This window comes from Homo sapiens, chromosome 2 (genome assembly GCF_000001405.40).
Source record: "Homo sapiens chromosome 2, GRCh38.p14 Primary Assembly".
In the NCBI taxonomy this organism is placed as follows: Eukaryota; Metazoa; Chordata; class Mammalia; order Primates; family Hominidae; genus Homo; species Homo sapiens.
This window is the reverse complement of record NC_000002.12, coordinates 155,138,105-155,156,060: the sequence shown is the minus strand read 5'-3', so window position 1 is coordinate 155,156,060 and position 17,956 is coordinate 155,138,105. Positions and strand designations below refer to the sequence as shown.

At 34.5% G+C, this 17,956-nt stretch overlaps 1 annotated feature.

Moving 5' to 3' along the window:
• Positions 9,911-9,970: an enhancer, noted in NCBI's record as "active region_16657". NCBI's record gives its function as "activates an Ori minimal core promoter by ATAC-STARR-seq in GM12878 lymphoblastoid cells {active_cell/tissue: GM12878}" and the evidence as "EXISTENCE:reporter gene assay evidence [ECO:0000049][PMID:35858748]".

Here is a 17,956-nt window from a genome sequence, read left to right as displayed (position 1 = left end):
CTGAGGATACTTAATGAATGATATTTTCCTTAATCTCTGTGCATGCCCAGTAGGCATAGGGTTTACAGAGATTTAACCCAAATATTTTCTTGTAAAATAAGACTTGCATATATTTTGGTTTTGAGAAATATGTAACATAACATCAGCCACATCCTGAAACCAAAACATATTTGTGCCAACAAAAAGACTCTTAATGAAGTTACCTAAACTGATAACATCTATGCTTCCGAAATAATGAGGTATTTGCTCATAAGAACTTCTCATTTTTTTTTCAGTGTGTTTATTTCTATTAGCTAACATATCTTTTGCAATGATCTTATGTGAAAAGCAATTAGAATAGTGGGGGAAATATCAAACATATACACTTTCCCAGTTTATGACCATGTATCATTGAGAAGTGCTAGTACATGCTTTCAGTGCATTTTTTAAAATGTGAATTTGACAAATATTCTTTTCAGAACTTGGAAAAATAGGAAATAATTCAGAAATAGTTTAAAGAAATTACCAGAAAAGCATAAAGGAATCTGACTGTGTGCAGGCATTAACATTTAACCCTGTTTATTGTTTTGAATAATATTATACAAGTTCATTTGTTTCTTTTTGTACCTCATTTTAGATATCCTTCTTTCCACCCTCACGCCATCGCATAAGATAACCCTCAAGGTACAGAGACAGTTACTGTAACCATTTGCTTTTTATTCTCCCATCTCACTCCCTCAGCTAAATGAGCTTAATCTTCTCCATTTGGGTAGCACTTCAGAAAAGCTGATTTTGGACAGGAAAAAACTCAGGAGAACTACTTCTCTGAGTCACGGAATCAGTAGCGAGTTGATTCTAATGCCATATGCCTGCATCCTGACTTTACTTAACCTACACCTTCACCTAGGTTCTTTACTGACTTTTTTTTTTTAACCAGAATTTTTCTCTGTGTACCAGTATCATGGTATCCATATTATGATCTGTACCACTGACCACTATTTTGGCTACATCTCAGACCTGCTCTTTGCTTGGCCAGTTGTATAAAGTTAGCCTGTGTATCCACCTTTTGCCTCTTTATGTTGCCCACTTTCCTGCCTCTTTTATCTTAAGAAGCTACTGACCAGTTCTATGTTGCTGAACTTGTGATTTGGTTTCCTCTTCTGCCCTGAAAATACCTATCAGCCCTGTCCTCATGCTTCTCAAGTCTCAGCTTGACATAATCTGTAGGTTGTTTTAGTGTATAGTGCTTAGGTTGCTGGGTGAGTTGGTGATAGGAACTGAATTGTATCTCTCTCCAAATTCATATGCGGAAGCCCTAACCCCCAATGTGACTGTCCTTGAAGAAAGGGCCAGGTTAAGTGAGGTCATAAGGATGGAACCGTAATTCAATAGCACTGAGGGATGTGCTTGCAAGAAAAGGAAGAGACATCACGGATGCACAAGCACAAAGAAAAGGCCATGTGAGGACACAGTGAGAAGGCAGCCATCTGCAAGCCAAAGAGAGAAGCCTCAGAGAAAACAAACCTGTCAGCACCTTGATCTGGAAACTCCAGCCTCCAGAGCTGTGAAGAAATAAATTTCTGTTGTTCAAGCCACTCCATCTGTGATTTTTATATGGCAGCCCTGGCAGACTGATACAGTTGCAATGAAGAATAATTGGGGATGTTTACATCTACCCAAGAAGAATAATTCGATTTATACTGGATTACCTATATATTGAGTTTCCTAAGTTACATGCAGTCAAACTTCCGAACTTTGTTGTTTAGCTTTTGTTTGTCTGTGTGCACTTAGTTATGCAATGCTAAATAATGATGATATGTCATCTTAGAGATATAGCTTTAGTGTACTTGTTCTCTGAAGTGGATATTTATGTCTGATATAATATCACAGAACCATCTGAAGAAATGGGTCCTGAGAGACAGCCAATAAAATATATATATTGCTGAAACCATTAGAAGTTACTCTTCACACTAAATTATCTAATGTATTTATCATGTAAGTTATTTAAGTCTTACTCTTTAAAGATATATATTTGTTTCAATCCTTATTAATCACACTTATTTAGGATATTTTGGAAAGAAACCACATTACTGTCCTTTATTTGTGGAAGTGTATAATAGTTGTTATACCAGACTACATAATGTATTTTGAAGCAATTATTTCTAGATCTATGTTTATTTCTATCACTCTCTCTAGAAACAGGTATAAACAGTCTCTGAGTGCTTTGTTTCAAGAACTTTGATTATGTATCTTTGTTATATTGCTTAATACTCAAATTCCAAATGAGTACCAATTTTGGTGAGCCCTGTAGCATGGTGTTAGTAGAAAGAACCTGCATGTTGGGTCCAAATAATGATTTATTCCTTGATTTTTCTACTTAGTATCCTTCTAGCTTTGGGCAGCTTCATTAAAATCTCTGAGTCTCAGATTTCTCATCTGGAAAACAGGTTTAATAGCATTCCTTTGTGTCCTATAGTGAAAACTAAATGAGATAAGATACACTAAGTACACAGCACAATTTGCTGAAACATAGCATTCAAAAAAAAAATGCTAGCAGTTACTGAAAGCTACCTCTGAATATTTTCTGAAAGTAATCACTGCTCTGAATAGTATTCATTTCAAGTTCTTTCTGAATACATCAGGGAATTCAAAATCATGGATCTAGACTTATTCCAGATGGGGGAAAATGAACACATGCTTTTAAAAAATTCATTTGTGGTATGGTAATATATTTTTGCCTAAATTCTTAGTCAAAATTTCAGGTGAGTTTAACAGTTAAAAAAGTAAATGCCTATTTTAGATAATATAATTGAACATAATTCCTGTTGCTAAAAGTACACCAATATATTCCTTTTCATTTAGATATGAGTAAAAAGATCAAGAAGGCCTTGGGAGACAGCTCACCAAAATGTTCAGAATATTTATGTTTATCATTTTATTATTTCTGGTTATATTAAAAAGTTTATTAAGTTAGCACTATTTAAGTTTGTTAAGTCTAATATTGGACTTCTTTTTAGCTTAGTTTTAAATAAATAGATTTTATATTTATACAGCACTCCATTTCCTTTGCATTTGTCTAGTCACTCATTTGATTAAAAACATATAAATGTGTATTAGAAATAAAAAACCTCATATGGTTTGGCTGTGTCCCTACCCAAATCTCATCTTGAATTATAACTCCCACAATTCCCATGTGTCAAGGGAGGAACCCAGGGGGAGGTGACTGAACTATGGGAGCAGGTCTTTCCTAGGCTGTTCTCATGATAGTGAATGAGTCTCATGAGATCTGATGGTGTTAAAAACAGGAGTTTTTCTGCACGAGCTCTCCCTTTTGCCTGCTGGTATCCACATAAGTTGTGACTTGCTCTTCCTTGACTTTCACCTTCTGCTGTGATTGTGAGGCCTCCCCAGCCACGTGAAACTGTAAGTCCAATAAACCTCTTCCTTTTGTAAATTGCCCCATCTCTGGTATACCTTTATCAGTAGCGTGAAAACGGACTAATACAAGACCCCTTTCATGTGTTTTGAGAGTAAGTAATGAATACTAAAATTTAGAGAAAGCTGTGAGAGAAGTTTGACTTCCAAAAGTAAGAAAAATCCCATTCAGAATACAAAATGTATAAATATATTTAGGTTTATTGCTTTCAAATATGCCCTTTAAAATTGTGGTAGATACTGGGCTGTTCAGATTCTCCTTTATTCAGAAAATTTCTGCAGCCAAAGAAAGCTGTCTTATCCAAGGTGACATGCCTTCCCCATCCCCAGGACAGCCTGAATCCTAAGACTGCTTATATGAAGGTTTCAAAAGGCCTAGGCTCCCTTGGTTCAAAAATGACAAATCTGATGGGTGCTGCAGCTCAGGAACTCCAAGTAAGTGAGGGAAACCTCTGTTGCTACTACCTAGTCCCTCCCTCTCCCCTTTCTCACATGGGCATTTCCGCCTTGCCACCCTCACCCCAGAACACACTCTAATCAACTTTCTGGTTTCCAATTCCAGTTTCAGAATCTGCTTCCCTAAAGGGAACAATCAACGAAAATCCAGAAAGAAGTTATGACCAGTGATTCAGTTATAACTCACAAGCACTTATATCTTTCTCCAACCCATTGTATTCCAAAACTTTTATTTAAAGGGAGAGACATGGAATTGTGAGCTAGGAAAAATTATACCTATGGAAGATACAGGTTGCATCATAGAAATAATTGAGAGTAACCATGTAAAGCAATTAAGTTCCTGTGGAAAAACTGTATCTTAAAGCTCTACTATATCAAATAATTTTAAATGCTAGTAAGTACAGTCTATTAAATCAATTAAACTCTTTCATATTTATTTGAGTAAAACATATTATCTGAAGGCCTCCATTTCCCTGTTACCCTGTTACAGTTTCTAGAAATCACCACACAAGGTCAGTCTTTGTAATATGCTCTCTGACAGAGCAGAAAGAGTGGCCAAAATGCTTTCATTAGTTTATTGGCAGGGGGTGATCTGAATTAACAATCCAAGTACTAATACTGAGGACTTGCAAATATTGATTAGAATGAAAGCAATACATTAGGTGATTTAAAGTATGGATATGCTTTAGTAGTGGAAAAAGAATTGCATTTGGATCATGGGCAGCCAAATGGAAGAGGAAAAGAAAAAGAACGACAAGAATAATAAATAAAGAGAAGTTCCATGACATATCACTTAGATATGTTGTATTTCTAAAGAGATGTCAACCTGCATATTCATCTGAAGAAAAAAACAAAAGCCTACAATTTAAACAGAAAGAAAAGCAGCTCTTTGGCAAGAAAAACTTAGTGCTAAGCCTTTAACATGAAATCCAGATAGAGGATCAAATCTTCATGGCTAACCCCATAAAATCTAACAAAAAATGTGTTCCAGAGGGTTTGATCTAATAATTTGCAGCCTTTTAGGCACAGACGTTCCTATGATTTGAACACAACTTTAGGTTCTATATTTGGAAACCTATATTACTATGGTCTATAAACCAAGGATTCTAAAAAGAACAAGATGGAAATTATAGTTATAAACTATATAATTATAAAATAACCATTTAAACTGTGAGAAAAATATACTGTCCTTGTTAAAAAAAATAAAAAATAAAAAGCTTAGCAGAGTTAAAAGATCCTGTGGGGGCCGGGCGTGGTGGATCATGCCTGTAATCCTAGCACTTTGGGAGGCTGAGGTGGGCAAATCACGAGGTCAGGAGTTCGATACCAGCCTGGCCAACATGGTCTCTACTAAAAACACAAAAAATTAGCTGGATGCAGTGGTGGGTGCCTGTAATCCCAGCTACTTGGGAGGCTGAGGCAGGAGAATTGCTTGAACCCAGGAGGCAGAAGTTACAGTGAGCCAAGATCGTACCACTGCACTCCAGCCCAGGCGACCGAGTGAGACTCCACTCAAAAAAAAAAAAAAAAAAAAAGAAAAGAAAAGAAAAGAAAAAGAAAAAAGAAACAAGAAGTCCTGTAGGACATGTAGAACTGAATTAAATTTCCAACTGCTCTATCTATATGCTTTGTGATCGTGAAAGAGTCCATTAGCAGATCAGAAACACAACATTCCCATACAAAAAATAGGAGTGATAAAATACTATGTCATAGAACACTTGGAATAATTAAGATTTCATATGCAATATAATTAGCACAGATTTTGACATATAAAATGATGTACTAAGTAGTCCAATAATTATAATAATTTATTAGTAATTTTATCCTAACACTTAAGCTAAACACTTTTCCAATAATCCTAATTTGAACCTTCTATAACAGTAGGTAGAATTGAACTATTCTGATATTCTCTAGAACTCATTTTAAAAGACCACATTTGTATTTTGGCTTCTTAAAATCTGTTTGGAGCATTTTAAATTAAATTAAAATATACCGTGATTGAATCACAGTTGTACAAACTCTCATCAACACACACACACACACACATATACCATATATATTGTGCTTTTCATTTCAAAGCATGATAAATAAGAAATGGAGATCAATAAGTCCTTGTAAGCCTCCTGGGGATTTGTGTGATCTAGAAATGAGGATCTTGCTTAAAATCATCTTAGAGAGGGTCTTTTTAAAAGTCATTTTAAAGTCTGCTTTTTGTTTGTATATTTTTTACTTGGACTGATTTTTAAAACAATTCCAATTTATAAAACACATCAAGACACATGCTGAGAAACAAATTGGGTGAGTTGTGAGCCACGTCTGTGTAGCCACAAGGCCTGCTACACTGCACATCTCACCTCCTGCAGCCTTCACTTTATTAGTCTCTTGTACGTACCCATCTATTATCCAGCCCCATATTAAACACTGGCAGAAGTTAAAAGGAGTTTTAAAATATATTAACATACAATGCATTTTTTACAATGTGCCTGTAAACCATTCCATTAATCTCTGGAAAATTTAATAAAACCCTATGTAGTTTTAGAGCTGAAAATTTCTCTCCCATCATGTTAAAAGTATATATTTTTAAACAAGTGTTCCTTTACAATATAAATATTGCATAGATGATTAACTGTGCACTCTCTCTTTAGAAAATAAATCAAAATGCTAAAATCTACCAGTTATCTCAGATCAATGTTCAGATGTTCAGATGCTCTGGCGTAAAAGAAGTAATTTATGAGACTGACCCACCCACTGTCAAGGAAAAATGAGTTTGAGTGGAATGCCTCATGGAGGAACTTTGCTCAGCTAAAAATGTATGTGAAAACACTGAGCATAAAATGAAGTCAAGAAGAAGGAAAAGAATCCAGATGGAGATGACTATTTAAAAAATTAGACCAGAAAAAAAAACAGTCAAATATTTAGGATAATGAATTAATACAATGTACTTTTGGATTATTGATACGTTTATTTTCTTAATTGTGCCAGTGGTTCACAGTTTTGTATAAATATGTCAAAACTTTCAGATGGTATAATTTAAATTTGTACAATTTACTGTATGTCAGTGATACCTCAAGAAAACTATATAAACACAAACTAAAAGAAAATACAAAAGACAATAAAACAAAACAAAAATAACAAATAAAACATCCCAAATGCTTAGAAATTAAATTCTTAATAATACTTTAGTTATAGAAGAAATCATAATGGAAATTAGAAAATATTCTAAATAGTTATGAAAATATTATACGTAAAAATATGATATAAAACTAAAGCACTACTTTTAGGAAAATTTATAGAATTGAATAAATGTAAAAGAAAGGAAGCTAAAAAAATCAACAAAATCAACAAAACATAATTAATGTGGAAGTTAGAAACTATTAAAGAAGAATAAAAATCAAAGAAATAGAAAACATAAAATGAAGAACTCCCCATAAATTTTAAAGCTCAGACTTTGAAAATCTTAATAAAATCAAGTAATACCTTACAAAAAATGTATCAAGGAGAAAGAAGGCAAAACACAGTGTGATGGTTAATACTGAGTGTCAACTTGATCGAAGGATGCAAAGTATTGATTCTGGGTGTGTCTGTGAGGCTGTTGCCAAAGGAGATTAACATTTGAGTCAGTGGGCTGGGGAAGGCAGACCCACCCTTAATTTGGGTGGGCACCATCTAGTCAGCTGCCAGTGAATAGAAAGCAAGCAGAAAAACATGAAATGGCTAGACTGGCTTAGCCTCCCAGCCTGCATCTTTCTCCCATGCAGGATGCTTCCTGCCCTTGAACATCAGACTCCAGGCTCTTCAGCTTTGGGACTCAGACTGGCTTCCTTGCTCCTCAGCTTGCAGATGGCCTATTGTGGGACCTTGTGATCATGTGACTTAATACTACTTAATAAATTCCCAAATATACATATATATATATATATATATATATATATATATATATATATGAGTTTATTTTTACAAACTATGTAATATTTATAATAGAAGATATATATATATATATATATATATATATATATATATATATATATATCCTATTATTTCCATCCATCTGGAGAGCCCTGACTAATACACACAAATTGAAAATATCAGAAATTCTAGCAACCAATTGAAAAAAATATTGAATGATACTATTTATAAAAAGATAAAGACATAAATACCTAGAAATAAAAATAAAGTGGTATAAGAGCTCTAAAAACAAAACAAAAAACATATAAATCACTTTTGGGAGAAATTAAAAACTAATTAGGAATAAGCTATATGATTTTAAGAGTTAATATTAAAAATGTTGTTTTAAAACTGATACATAGATTTAGTGCAATTCAAAACAAATTTCCAGTAGTTTATTTTATGAAAATGAATACATGGATTGTCTAACTTACATGAAAATGCAAAAAAAAGAATAACAAAGACAATTATGATGCAGGAGAACTTAGAACACTAAGTATTTCATCTTCATGTAATTACAGTGTGAATGAACAGTGAGGTATGGGTACAGATAGAGATAAACTCATCAATAGAATAGAATATAAAGAGGGACACCCACACATATATAGTCAGTTGATTGTAACATAATACAAAAAATTAACAAAAGAAAAGGATAATTTGACAAATTGAACTTAAAGTTAATTAAAATTTTATATCTTAAAAGACATCATTAAGGGTTAGAAAAGGCAAAAAATCAAGAAAAGATTATAGTTAAATGTTTGTGTATACACACACACATATATGTATATATAACAAATATTAAAAATTTATAAAAGATGTCTCAGGTCAACAATATCAAGATAAATAACCTGATAAGAAGATAGGCTACAGACTTGGGCAGGTGCTTCAAATAAAAGCCATCCAAATAATGCATAAACATGTGAAAAGATGTTTAACCTCATTCATCATTGGGCAAACAAATGTTACAACAATGAAATCCCACTGTATACTTACTGGAATAACTAAAATATAATAAAATACTAATATTTCCAAGTGTTGGTGAGGATATGGAACTCTCATATATTGATGGCAGGAATGTGACTTGGAACAATCCCTTTAGACAATTATTTGGCAGTATTTACTGAAGCTAAACATACATATATTTTATAAAGTAGCAATTCTATAATATATTGTATTACCTAATAAGATGCTTGCATGTGTCCATCAAAGTACATGCAAAACTATATCATCATGATTTATAATAACTAAAATGTCCATCAATATTAAATATAGTGTGGCATATTCATATTATAGGATGCTTCATGTCAATAAAAATAAACTGAAATTATGTGTGACAACACTGATAAATCTCAGTAACATAATGATAAGCAAAAACGCTATATTCAAATGTTACATACAATAAGATTTTATGTATATGCATTTCAGAAGTAGGCAAAGATAATTAACGGTGTAGTTCAAAGGGGGTAACAGATGATGGTAGAGGTAATGACTATGAAACAAACTTACCATGTTATGTTTTCAATGAGTAATAGTATATACAAATGTCAGGAATGGAACATGCCTTTTCTCTCTTTACTTTCTAATTTATTTTAAAATCAAGTTTTCTAAACTAGAGATTTGCCTTTGCCTGGTGGTAACAAATGAAGAGTATTTAAGAAAGGTTCTGAAAGAAATATGATCAAATATGCAAGCCCCACTGATCCAAAGCTACCTTGTTGAAAAGACATCTCACAAATCTGAATCAATGCATATGGATTCAGAACAATACAAGTCAGATTCACTTAAATTGTCCATCTTTTATTCCCCTTTAAATCAAATATCAATAACCTTGGGGAGGTGATGCTGGCATTCAAATTAAATGACTTCTGGTTTTTCATGTTGTAGACCCGTTTATAATCTTCCCTCGTCTCAATTAGCCAAATAGGGAAGAAGAGATATTATTAATTATCTTATCGATCCACTTGTCACCTGAATAAAGTAGAAACATAGTGATTTGTTTTGCTTAATATGACCTCAGGAATCACAGCAAAAATAGTCAAGCTCCCAACTGTGCTCATTCTCTGCTACAAACTAAATTGTATACCCAGGCCTGTTACCTCTCCTTCCCCCTTATCTTTTATTATGTGTTACACAGGGTGTAATTTTGCTAAAACAAGCCCTTTAATTATACATTGCCAAAAGTGTCACCTACTGTTAAACGATTCCTGTGCTGCAGACAGAAGAAACCATGAACCCTGCAAGGTTCTGAAGTTTCCATTACGTGCACAGACCCCAAGAACAGCTGTTAACAAATCTGTTGGTGGTTTTGTGTAAAAAGCAGCCAGGCTGTGCTCCTGCTGTACTTTTGGTCAGAGAAAGCAATTTGCATTTTGACAGGCTTCGTGGGCAGAAGAAAAAACAGCACAGGTATAATAATAGCTCTAAATGAAAGATTTGGAGCAATGTTTTACTAATATTGAAAGTTTCCTTAAATAATGAGCAGCAATTAGAGAAAAATTATCTCAGGAGAACAGCAATATTAAGACTGTTTACTGATAACATAGACGAGAGTATTATTTTAAGGAACTTTAAGAAAAAGACGTGTGATTTAATATTTTATTAGACTGTTTAACATAAATTTTATCAAAATGAAACAGAAGATAAACTTAGGTAGTAATGTAGAGCAATTTTTCCTTTAAGAAAACTTAATAATTATTTCAGTTCTCCATTCTCTTACGTTATAAAATCTTTATCTATTTTGAACCTATTTTCCCACATACTTTTAAACTGTAATAACTTACATGTAAATATAGAGTATATGTATTGCTGCCAACCAAAATACTTAACTCTGTATTGCAATTGCTGCTCTGTTTTACGATTAGACCTTAAACATAGTGATCTAGAATTGAGCATGGGCCTTGCTGAATTTAAATACTAAGTCTAAATTTACTGTCTGCATTACCGTACTTAAATTATTTTACTTTAAGTTCCTCATTAAGTAATATAATACCTTCAAAAAATTTTACATTGAACACAGATCTCAAAATAAAATAATTTACATTTATAAAATGTTAATAAGAAAGTAATGCTTTATTACTGTGATAGAAGTTGATTGTATTTATCAATATTTGGTTTTTCTCTGCTTGCTGGACATACTTAAACACATTCTACAGACATTTTGCTTCTGAATGGGACCACAAGACACAATTCTGGCTAATGGAATGTGTGTTGCAGAATGGTGTGCCACTCCCAGAGCTGACCAAAAAAGCAGTCTTAAAAACACTCTCTTCTCTCCAAGGCCCTAGAAATAGCAGACACAATACAAGGTGGGGTCTCCCTAATCAGAGCTTGGAAAATAGTTGGGTACAAAGGCCACACAACAAGGATCAAATGTATTGGACTTCACATAAATGAGAAATAAAATTGCCCAGGAGATTTTGAGGATAACTTTTTTTAAGTTACCCTTTGCTAACTGACGTTATTATGTAGATATTTAAGCAGAATATGCATCTATTTCTAAGAAAATATTCACTCTATATTAACTTCCTTAACCCATCAGGATGTTTTTTGTTGTTGTTATTGTTTTGTAGAAAAGCCAGAGAATTTAAACGCTCATGTAATAAATATTCTAGATGAGAAACTTCAAAAACAAGTACTAAAAAATAGTACTTTAACAACCGAAGAAATGCATAATTATTTTAAGTCTCTAAAATCTTATCCTAACTATCTGTTACATAATATTAAATAAGCAGATGATTTTAAGGAGATAGTTTTATTCTATTTGCATGTTTGTTGAGAATCCATGCTATGCTGTGTTGGGGTCAGAAAACAAGACCCTAAAATGAAGGACTCAGAAGCAACCTCACAAGTAAACGTTTTTCTCTGACCTTCTCCTGTTCTGCTGCTTCTCAGTCCCATTCTCTCCAGAGGCTAGCTGTAGAAACTAGACTCCCTCTTCCCTAGGGCAGGCCATTGAAACCAGAACTGCTTTTCCCCAAAGACAACCATAAAACCTAAAAACATTACTCCAACTTTCCCTCCATCTTTCTGTGTAAAAAGTGGCCATAAAGAAATTATCCGACCTACCTTCTTTGGCTGTAAGTCATAACACCCCATTTCCAGAAAAAGTCCTGCCCCCACTCAGAAAGGAGAAAACATGCATAGAGAGGCCAAGAAGAATGTAAACAGACAGGCCTTGCTGGGCTTCTCCTCTGTCTATTAACATTAGATCATATGCTTTGTATACAATTATATATCTACACAGCTGTCCATACTTTGTTGAACCTAAGCAAATAAATAGACTATTTCCCCCTATATCTCTGTGTCTTCATTTTGAAAGCTCTCATGTATACATGTTAAATAAATTAGTATGCCTTTTCTCCAATTTATCTGTTTTCTGTGAGTTGATTTGTCAGCAAACCTGCAGAGGGCCAAGCAGAACTTTCCCCTTTCCCCTTACAGCTGTTATTGTTAGGTACAGAGAAAGATGTAAATCTTTCCTCTGTAAAAATAAAAACAAAAATGGCTTATAAGTAAGTGTACTACTGATAGGTATTTAATTATCAATAAATAGTGTGTTAACTCTATAATTCTTGAGTATATGGTATCTTTCAGACTAAAACTCAATCTCTTTGCTCGTAGTTTTATTATGATATTCTAATCTAGTTGTAATATGATATATTGGATTAATATAGCTAAGCATAATTATTTTATAAAAAGGTTTCAGATAAAGTAATACATACATATTTAAAATATTTTCTTGGAAAATGAACTACAAAGCAATATGCGAAAGTGGAAACAGCTTTCTTGGATAAAACTTTTAAAATAATACTTCTTAAGTATGATGTAACATTTTTTTCTAACATAGCTCTATGTTGACTAGACAATATATTTAGAAGATAAAAAGATAATGATTTATTTTAGTGACTCTCTGTCTGACTAACACATTTCTCATTTACACATTTTCCTTGAAGCTCTCAAAACAGCAGCAGCCGCTACAAGGCCCTGAGATTTCCAAGGCGTACATCTGCATGGCCACAGATTTCATCTCCCTCCCATCTAATTACTTTGTTTTCTTTTTGTCTTCTGCTAATCTCTGTCGATCTAACTTTCTAACATCTCACAGCTCAATACATTCTTTTTGCCTCCAACTTGGTCTTTTTACCTGTGAATCACTTCCCCACTGAAGGTCTAACATCTTAGTCCCACAATGAGTACAGTTTTTTAGAAATGATATTTCCAAATTGCCTGTGGCAAACTCAAAGCTTGGCATGTGATCCTTTTCAATGCTGCAGCTTTGAGAAATATATAAAGGATCTTAATAAGCTTTGCTTTTGTGTAAATTCAAGCTGTAGTATGGATAGGAAGTTCCCAGTTGGTTCAGAGACATCCTAACTGATATTGAAAATACAAACAGTTAAGCCAGCAGTATGAGGTAGGCCAAAGATCAAGACAGAACAGATGGGTCTAGCGAGAGTTTAGTTCAGACAGTTGAGGATCAAAATGGCATAAATCCATATGAAGTGCAGATCAATCAGGTAGACTGAATAAACAAAGAGGAAAAAAAATCCCCAAAAGTCAAGCCATTGAAGCTATCTTAATACATACTAAGCAAATATTTCTAAAATTTCATTTAATATAAAGAATCACATAGTAGCCTTTCCTTCTCTTCATTGCCAGACTTCTTCAAAGTTCTATAAAATAGTCTACCTTTATATTTTCAACTCTTATTTACTCACTTCATCATCTCTTTACAATCAAATTTCTGTCTCCACTGCCCTATAGAGATTTCTTCCTTTAGGGCCAAGAATAGACTTTTAATTGAGAGCTAATTGTTTCTATGCCTTCAACTTTGGCACTGCTTACTCACCCTTTTATTAATAAAATGCTTAGCAGTGAACTCTTAGCCTCAGTGGAATCATTTTTTTTCTGGTTTTGATTCTATGTTACAAACTTGTGCCTCCATTAGTTTTTAAATTACTTTTTCATTAGCTGAATCAGACTATATTTCAATGTGCTTGTAAAAACTGTTACCACCTCACCTCTTAAAACACTTGTTCTCACACCATATGCTTCGGATTTACAGTGCTTCTTCTATTTGCTTGTACATGACCTTGTTATGGGCCATCCTCTCTGTCTAAGGTGTCTTTTGTACTTTTTATCTGGTTAAATACTACTGGCCAAGACAGAATTAACATTTCTCTCATCTTGACTAAACTTTAGACGGGCATCCACCCCTCCCACATAGTCACCTGTAGAATTCAGGTGGCCTAACCACAGAGACCTTACCTCCCTTTTCTTAGCACATTTACTTTAGAACATTTGTAGCTGCAACTTTTTTCCTCTGCCCATTTGAGATGCAAATCCTTTAAAAAGCCTCCTTGCCAGTTGTACAACCCAGGACTATCTATCTCAACTACCTGAAGGCAATCCCCTTGAAATGTAATTATCAAAAATAAAAAATAATACCCCTTATCTCTCAGTCTCTGTGGAAGGATGGGGCTACTGTTGGTAGGAGCCTTTCTCGAAGTTGTAAAACTCCCTGCTGTCATAAAGATGCGAAAGAGCTTACCTTTCCTTTGGGTAAGGCCAATTAGCAAATACAGGTGGCCTGTGATCCTCCTATAGGAAATGGCCCCTGAAAGAGGCTTCGTCTTCAGAAAGGGAAACCTTCAGACCACAGCAGCTCTGTTAGAAGGAGACTAAGATGGGTTTTACCATCCTGATCATACTCACCTCTCTTTCTCTAATGTCCTGTCAATACATATCTGAAAGTCAGAGGTTCAGAGAGCCTGATGCAGGTCACATACCCACAGAGCTAGGTGGAGAAGGATAGATAGTAGACATAAAGAACCTAATAAAAGATTTTTTATATATGTATCTATGTTTATGTATATGTATATATGTATATGAATATATGTATATGTATATTCATATACACACACACATAAATATTTATATCCCAGTTTGTAAGCTAGTTGAGTCATTCATCAATCTACCCACTCATCCCTTCAAAGGACGTTTTTTTTTAATGTGATTGGCAATATATTAGGTCCTGGAGATTAAAAAAGAAATCAATACAGCATTAAAATAATGATTGCATTGAATTGCTACTACAGAAACATTTCCAAGTATTGTGGAATTTTAGGAAACAAAGGTACAGAAGCAGTAAAATTTTTATTGTCATTTGCTTTAAGGCTTATAAATAAGCACATTGCCAAAAAAGAAGTGGAAGCAAGGCTTGATGGATGTGAGTGGTTTCGTGTATCTGGACTATAAAATCTGTGAAAAAGATAGAGAGGAAAGATGTTGGTAAAATAATAGCAAGCTAGCTAGCTAAATAGATAAGTGGATAGATAGATAGATAACAGAAAATCACCGTGGAGACCAAGAAAGGAATGATTACAGTAATTACCCAATAGTGTCCTAACTGTGGAACACTCAAAAAAGTAAGACTGAAAATTGACCTTTGAGTTTTTGATTGTGAAAAGAGTATTATTGATCTTCACAAGACTTGCAGGTGGAAAATTATAAAAGGTTTAGATTTTATTCAAACCTGAAGAAATCTAACTACTTATTACATAAAAAACTCAAAAAGATAAATGATGAAAAGGAAGAATTACCTTGAATTGAAGTATAATGTTGAGTTAAAAAATGAACTGTTTTTCCTCTGCTCTCACACAACAATCAACACAGAACACTTCTGGGACCAAGTATCTGGGGATTTTTCCCCACCAGCAAGCAAGCAATTGATTCTGCAGTGGACACCAGCTGGGTGTTCTCCAATTCCACACTATCTACTGGGAGATAGCATCAGACCCCACAGGTTTAGGACTCAATCCACTTCTGATGCCAATCACGAGCCTTGGGTTATTTTATTTGTGTTTCTGGCCAACCAGCTATAAGTCATAGTTCCCACAACCTCTTCCTTGGGTTTGATTAATTTGCTAGAGTGGCTCACAGAGTTGAGAGAAACACTTATGTCCACCAGTTTATTATAAAGTATATTACAAGGGCTACACCTGATAAGATGCAGAGAGCAAAATACGGGAGAAGGGTCACAGGGCTTCCACACCCTCTTTGGGTACATCATCCTCCAGGAACCTTAATGAGTGCAGCTATCTGGAAGCTCCTTATACCATCCTCTTGGTCCTTTTATGGAAACTTCATTGCATAGACATAATTGAAGCATCAATAAGGGGGTAGAAATGTGATTGGACAAAAAGGGTATGATCTAAGACAAACAGAGTGGGGAAACCCAGCAAGTTCTATCTATCTGTTCAGATTCTTTTTTGGCCTCCCTGTGCAACATTTTCTCCTCCAGGGTATGGGGCAGAACCCCTTCTGAAATGGTGGTTTCATGACTTATAATCAGACAAGGTAGGTCAGAGAATTTCTTTGTGACCAGCTCCAAGACAGAAAGGCCGGAGGAAATTAGGGTATATTTTTAATTTCAGTGGCCTGCCTTGAGGCGAAAAAGGAGCAGGTGAAAGGAGGGCAGAAAAAGGTCAAAGAGAAAGAAATTCTGTGTCTGAGGCCTGATTCTGAGGTCTAAGGCATCCCAATATTATAACAAAAGATGATCTTTCACTTTTATCTCTCTGAAGTTGCTCCAAAGTTGCTTCAGGAAACAAGGACAAAAGGCCAAATACTTTAACAAAAGATATGCTTATTGTTTTAGTCACTTAGGAAATAACAAAGGTTATGGGGGTTATAAGCCAGGAACTGTGGACGAAAACCAATATGTATATATAGTAATATAACAGGCATGTTTCTCATTTTTTCCTTTACCTTTTTGCTGGTAGAGGAGAAGATTTTATTGATGGATTCCATCTTTACTGCCTTTCAAACCCTGCCTTTCTCCTCAGAGGAAATAAAAAGATTAAACAATTGTTCTATAAACAGCACATGAATTGTTCTAACCTGATATTATCAGTAATTCTTAAATATGTGTTTATCAGGAACTCAGTACAAATTCAGTATTTTTAGTCTATTATATTGTTGCGGCCCAGAACACACCACCCCAAAATATGACTGGAGAAGACGAGAATATTTCAGCCTAATATATATGTTTTTGGAATATTTTAAGCACATTATTCACATTAGTTTTAGAACCTGCAGACACAGAAGTATCTCTGAAAAGCTGTCCTTTTGTAAATATATATAAAGGAAACCTGCATTTGTAAAAGTATCTCTATCAGGAAGATAGTGGGCTGCTTCCACACAACTTTTATTACCTGAAAGACTTTTTATCAGAATAATAAGGCAATCTTTATTCACCATATATTTTCTCTTCTAACTCTCTCATAACTTGTCTTCACCACCCCACAGAAGGCCCAAGCCTTTATTGCTTTTTGTAGCTCAGGATGTTATGTAAACTTTAAACATCTGTGACCCTTCTTTAAGTTACATATTTTTGTGGGACCCCCATGCATATGTATATAATTAAATACAGTTTTTCTACTGTTAATCTGTTCATGTCAATTTAATGTATAGCCAAGCCTAAGAACTAAGAAGGGTGAAGGATGCCACTTTTCCCTCCTCTGTAATAGTCAACAGAATATTTTTCACTCTTTCATTTTGTGCTTTTTTGTCATAAGGCTTCAATAAAATTGTCAGTTCCAGGCCGGGTGTGGTGGCTTACACTTGTAATCCCAGCACTTTGGGAGGCTGAGGCAGGTAGATCACAAGGTCGGGAGATCGAGACCATCCTGGCTAACACGGTGAAACCCTGTCTCTACTAAAAAAAAAAAAAAAAAAATTAGCCAGGCGTGGCAGCGGGCGCCTGTAGTCCCAGCTACTTGGGAGGCTGATGCAGGAGAATGGTGTGAACCCTGGAGATGGAGCTTGCAGTGAGCTGAGATGGAGCCACTGCACTCCAGCCTGGGCGACAGAGCGAGACTCCGTCTCAGAAAAAAAAAAAGAAAAAAAAATTGTCAGCTCCAATCTACTCATTATGAACATGTGCTATTTTTATTGAAAATTGTGTCAGTGGCATTTCTAGAGAGTAGTTGTGAATTGCTAATTATGAAATATGATAAGTACTATAAGACATTTTATACCTTAGTAATTTTAATTATTTTTAGAAATGAAACTAAAAATACCTTTTCCAAAAATTATGACAGTGAGAAATATCTGCAGAATCACTGGATTCTCGACCAAT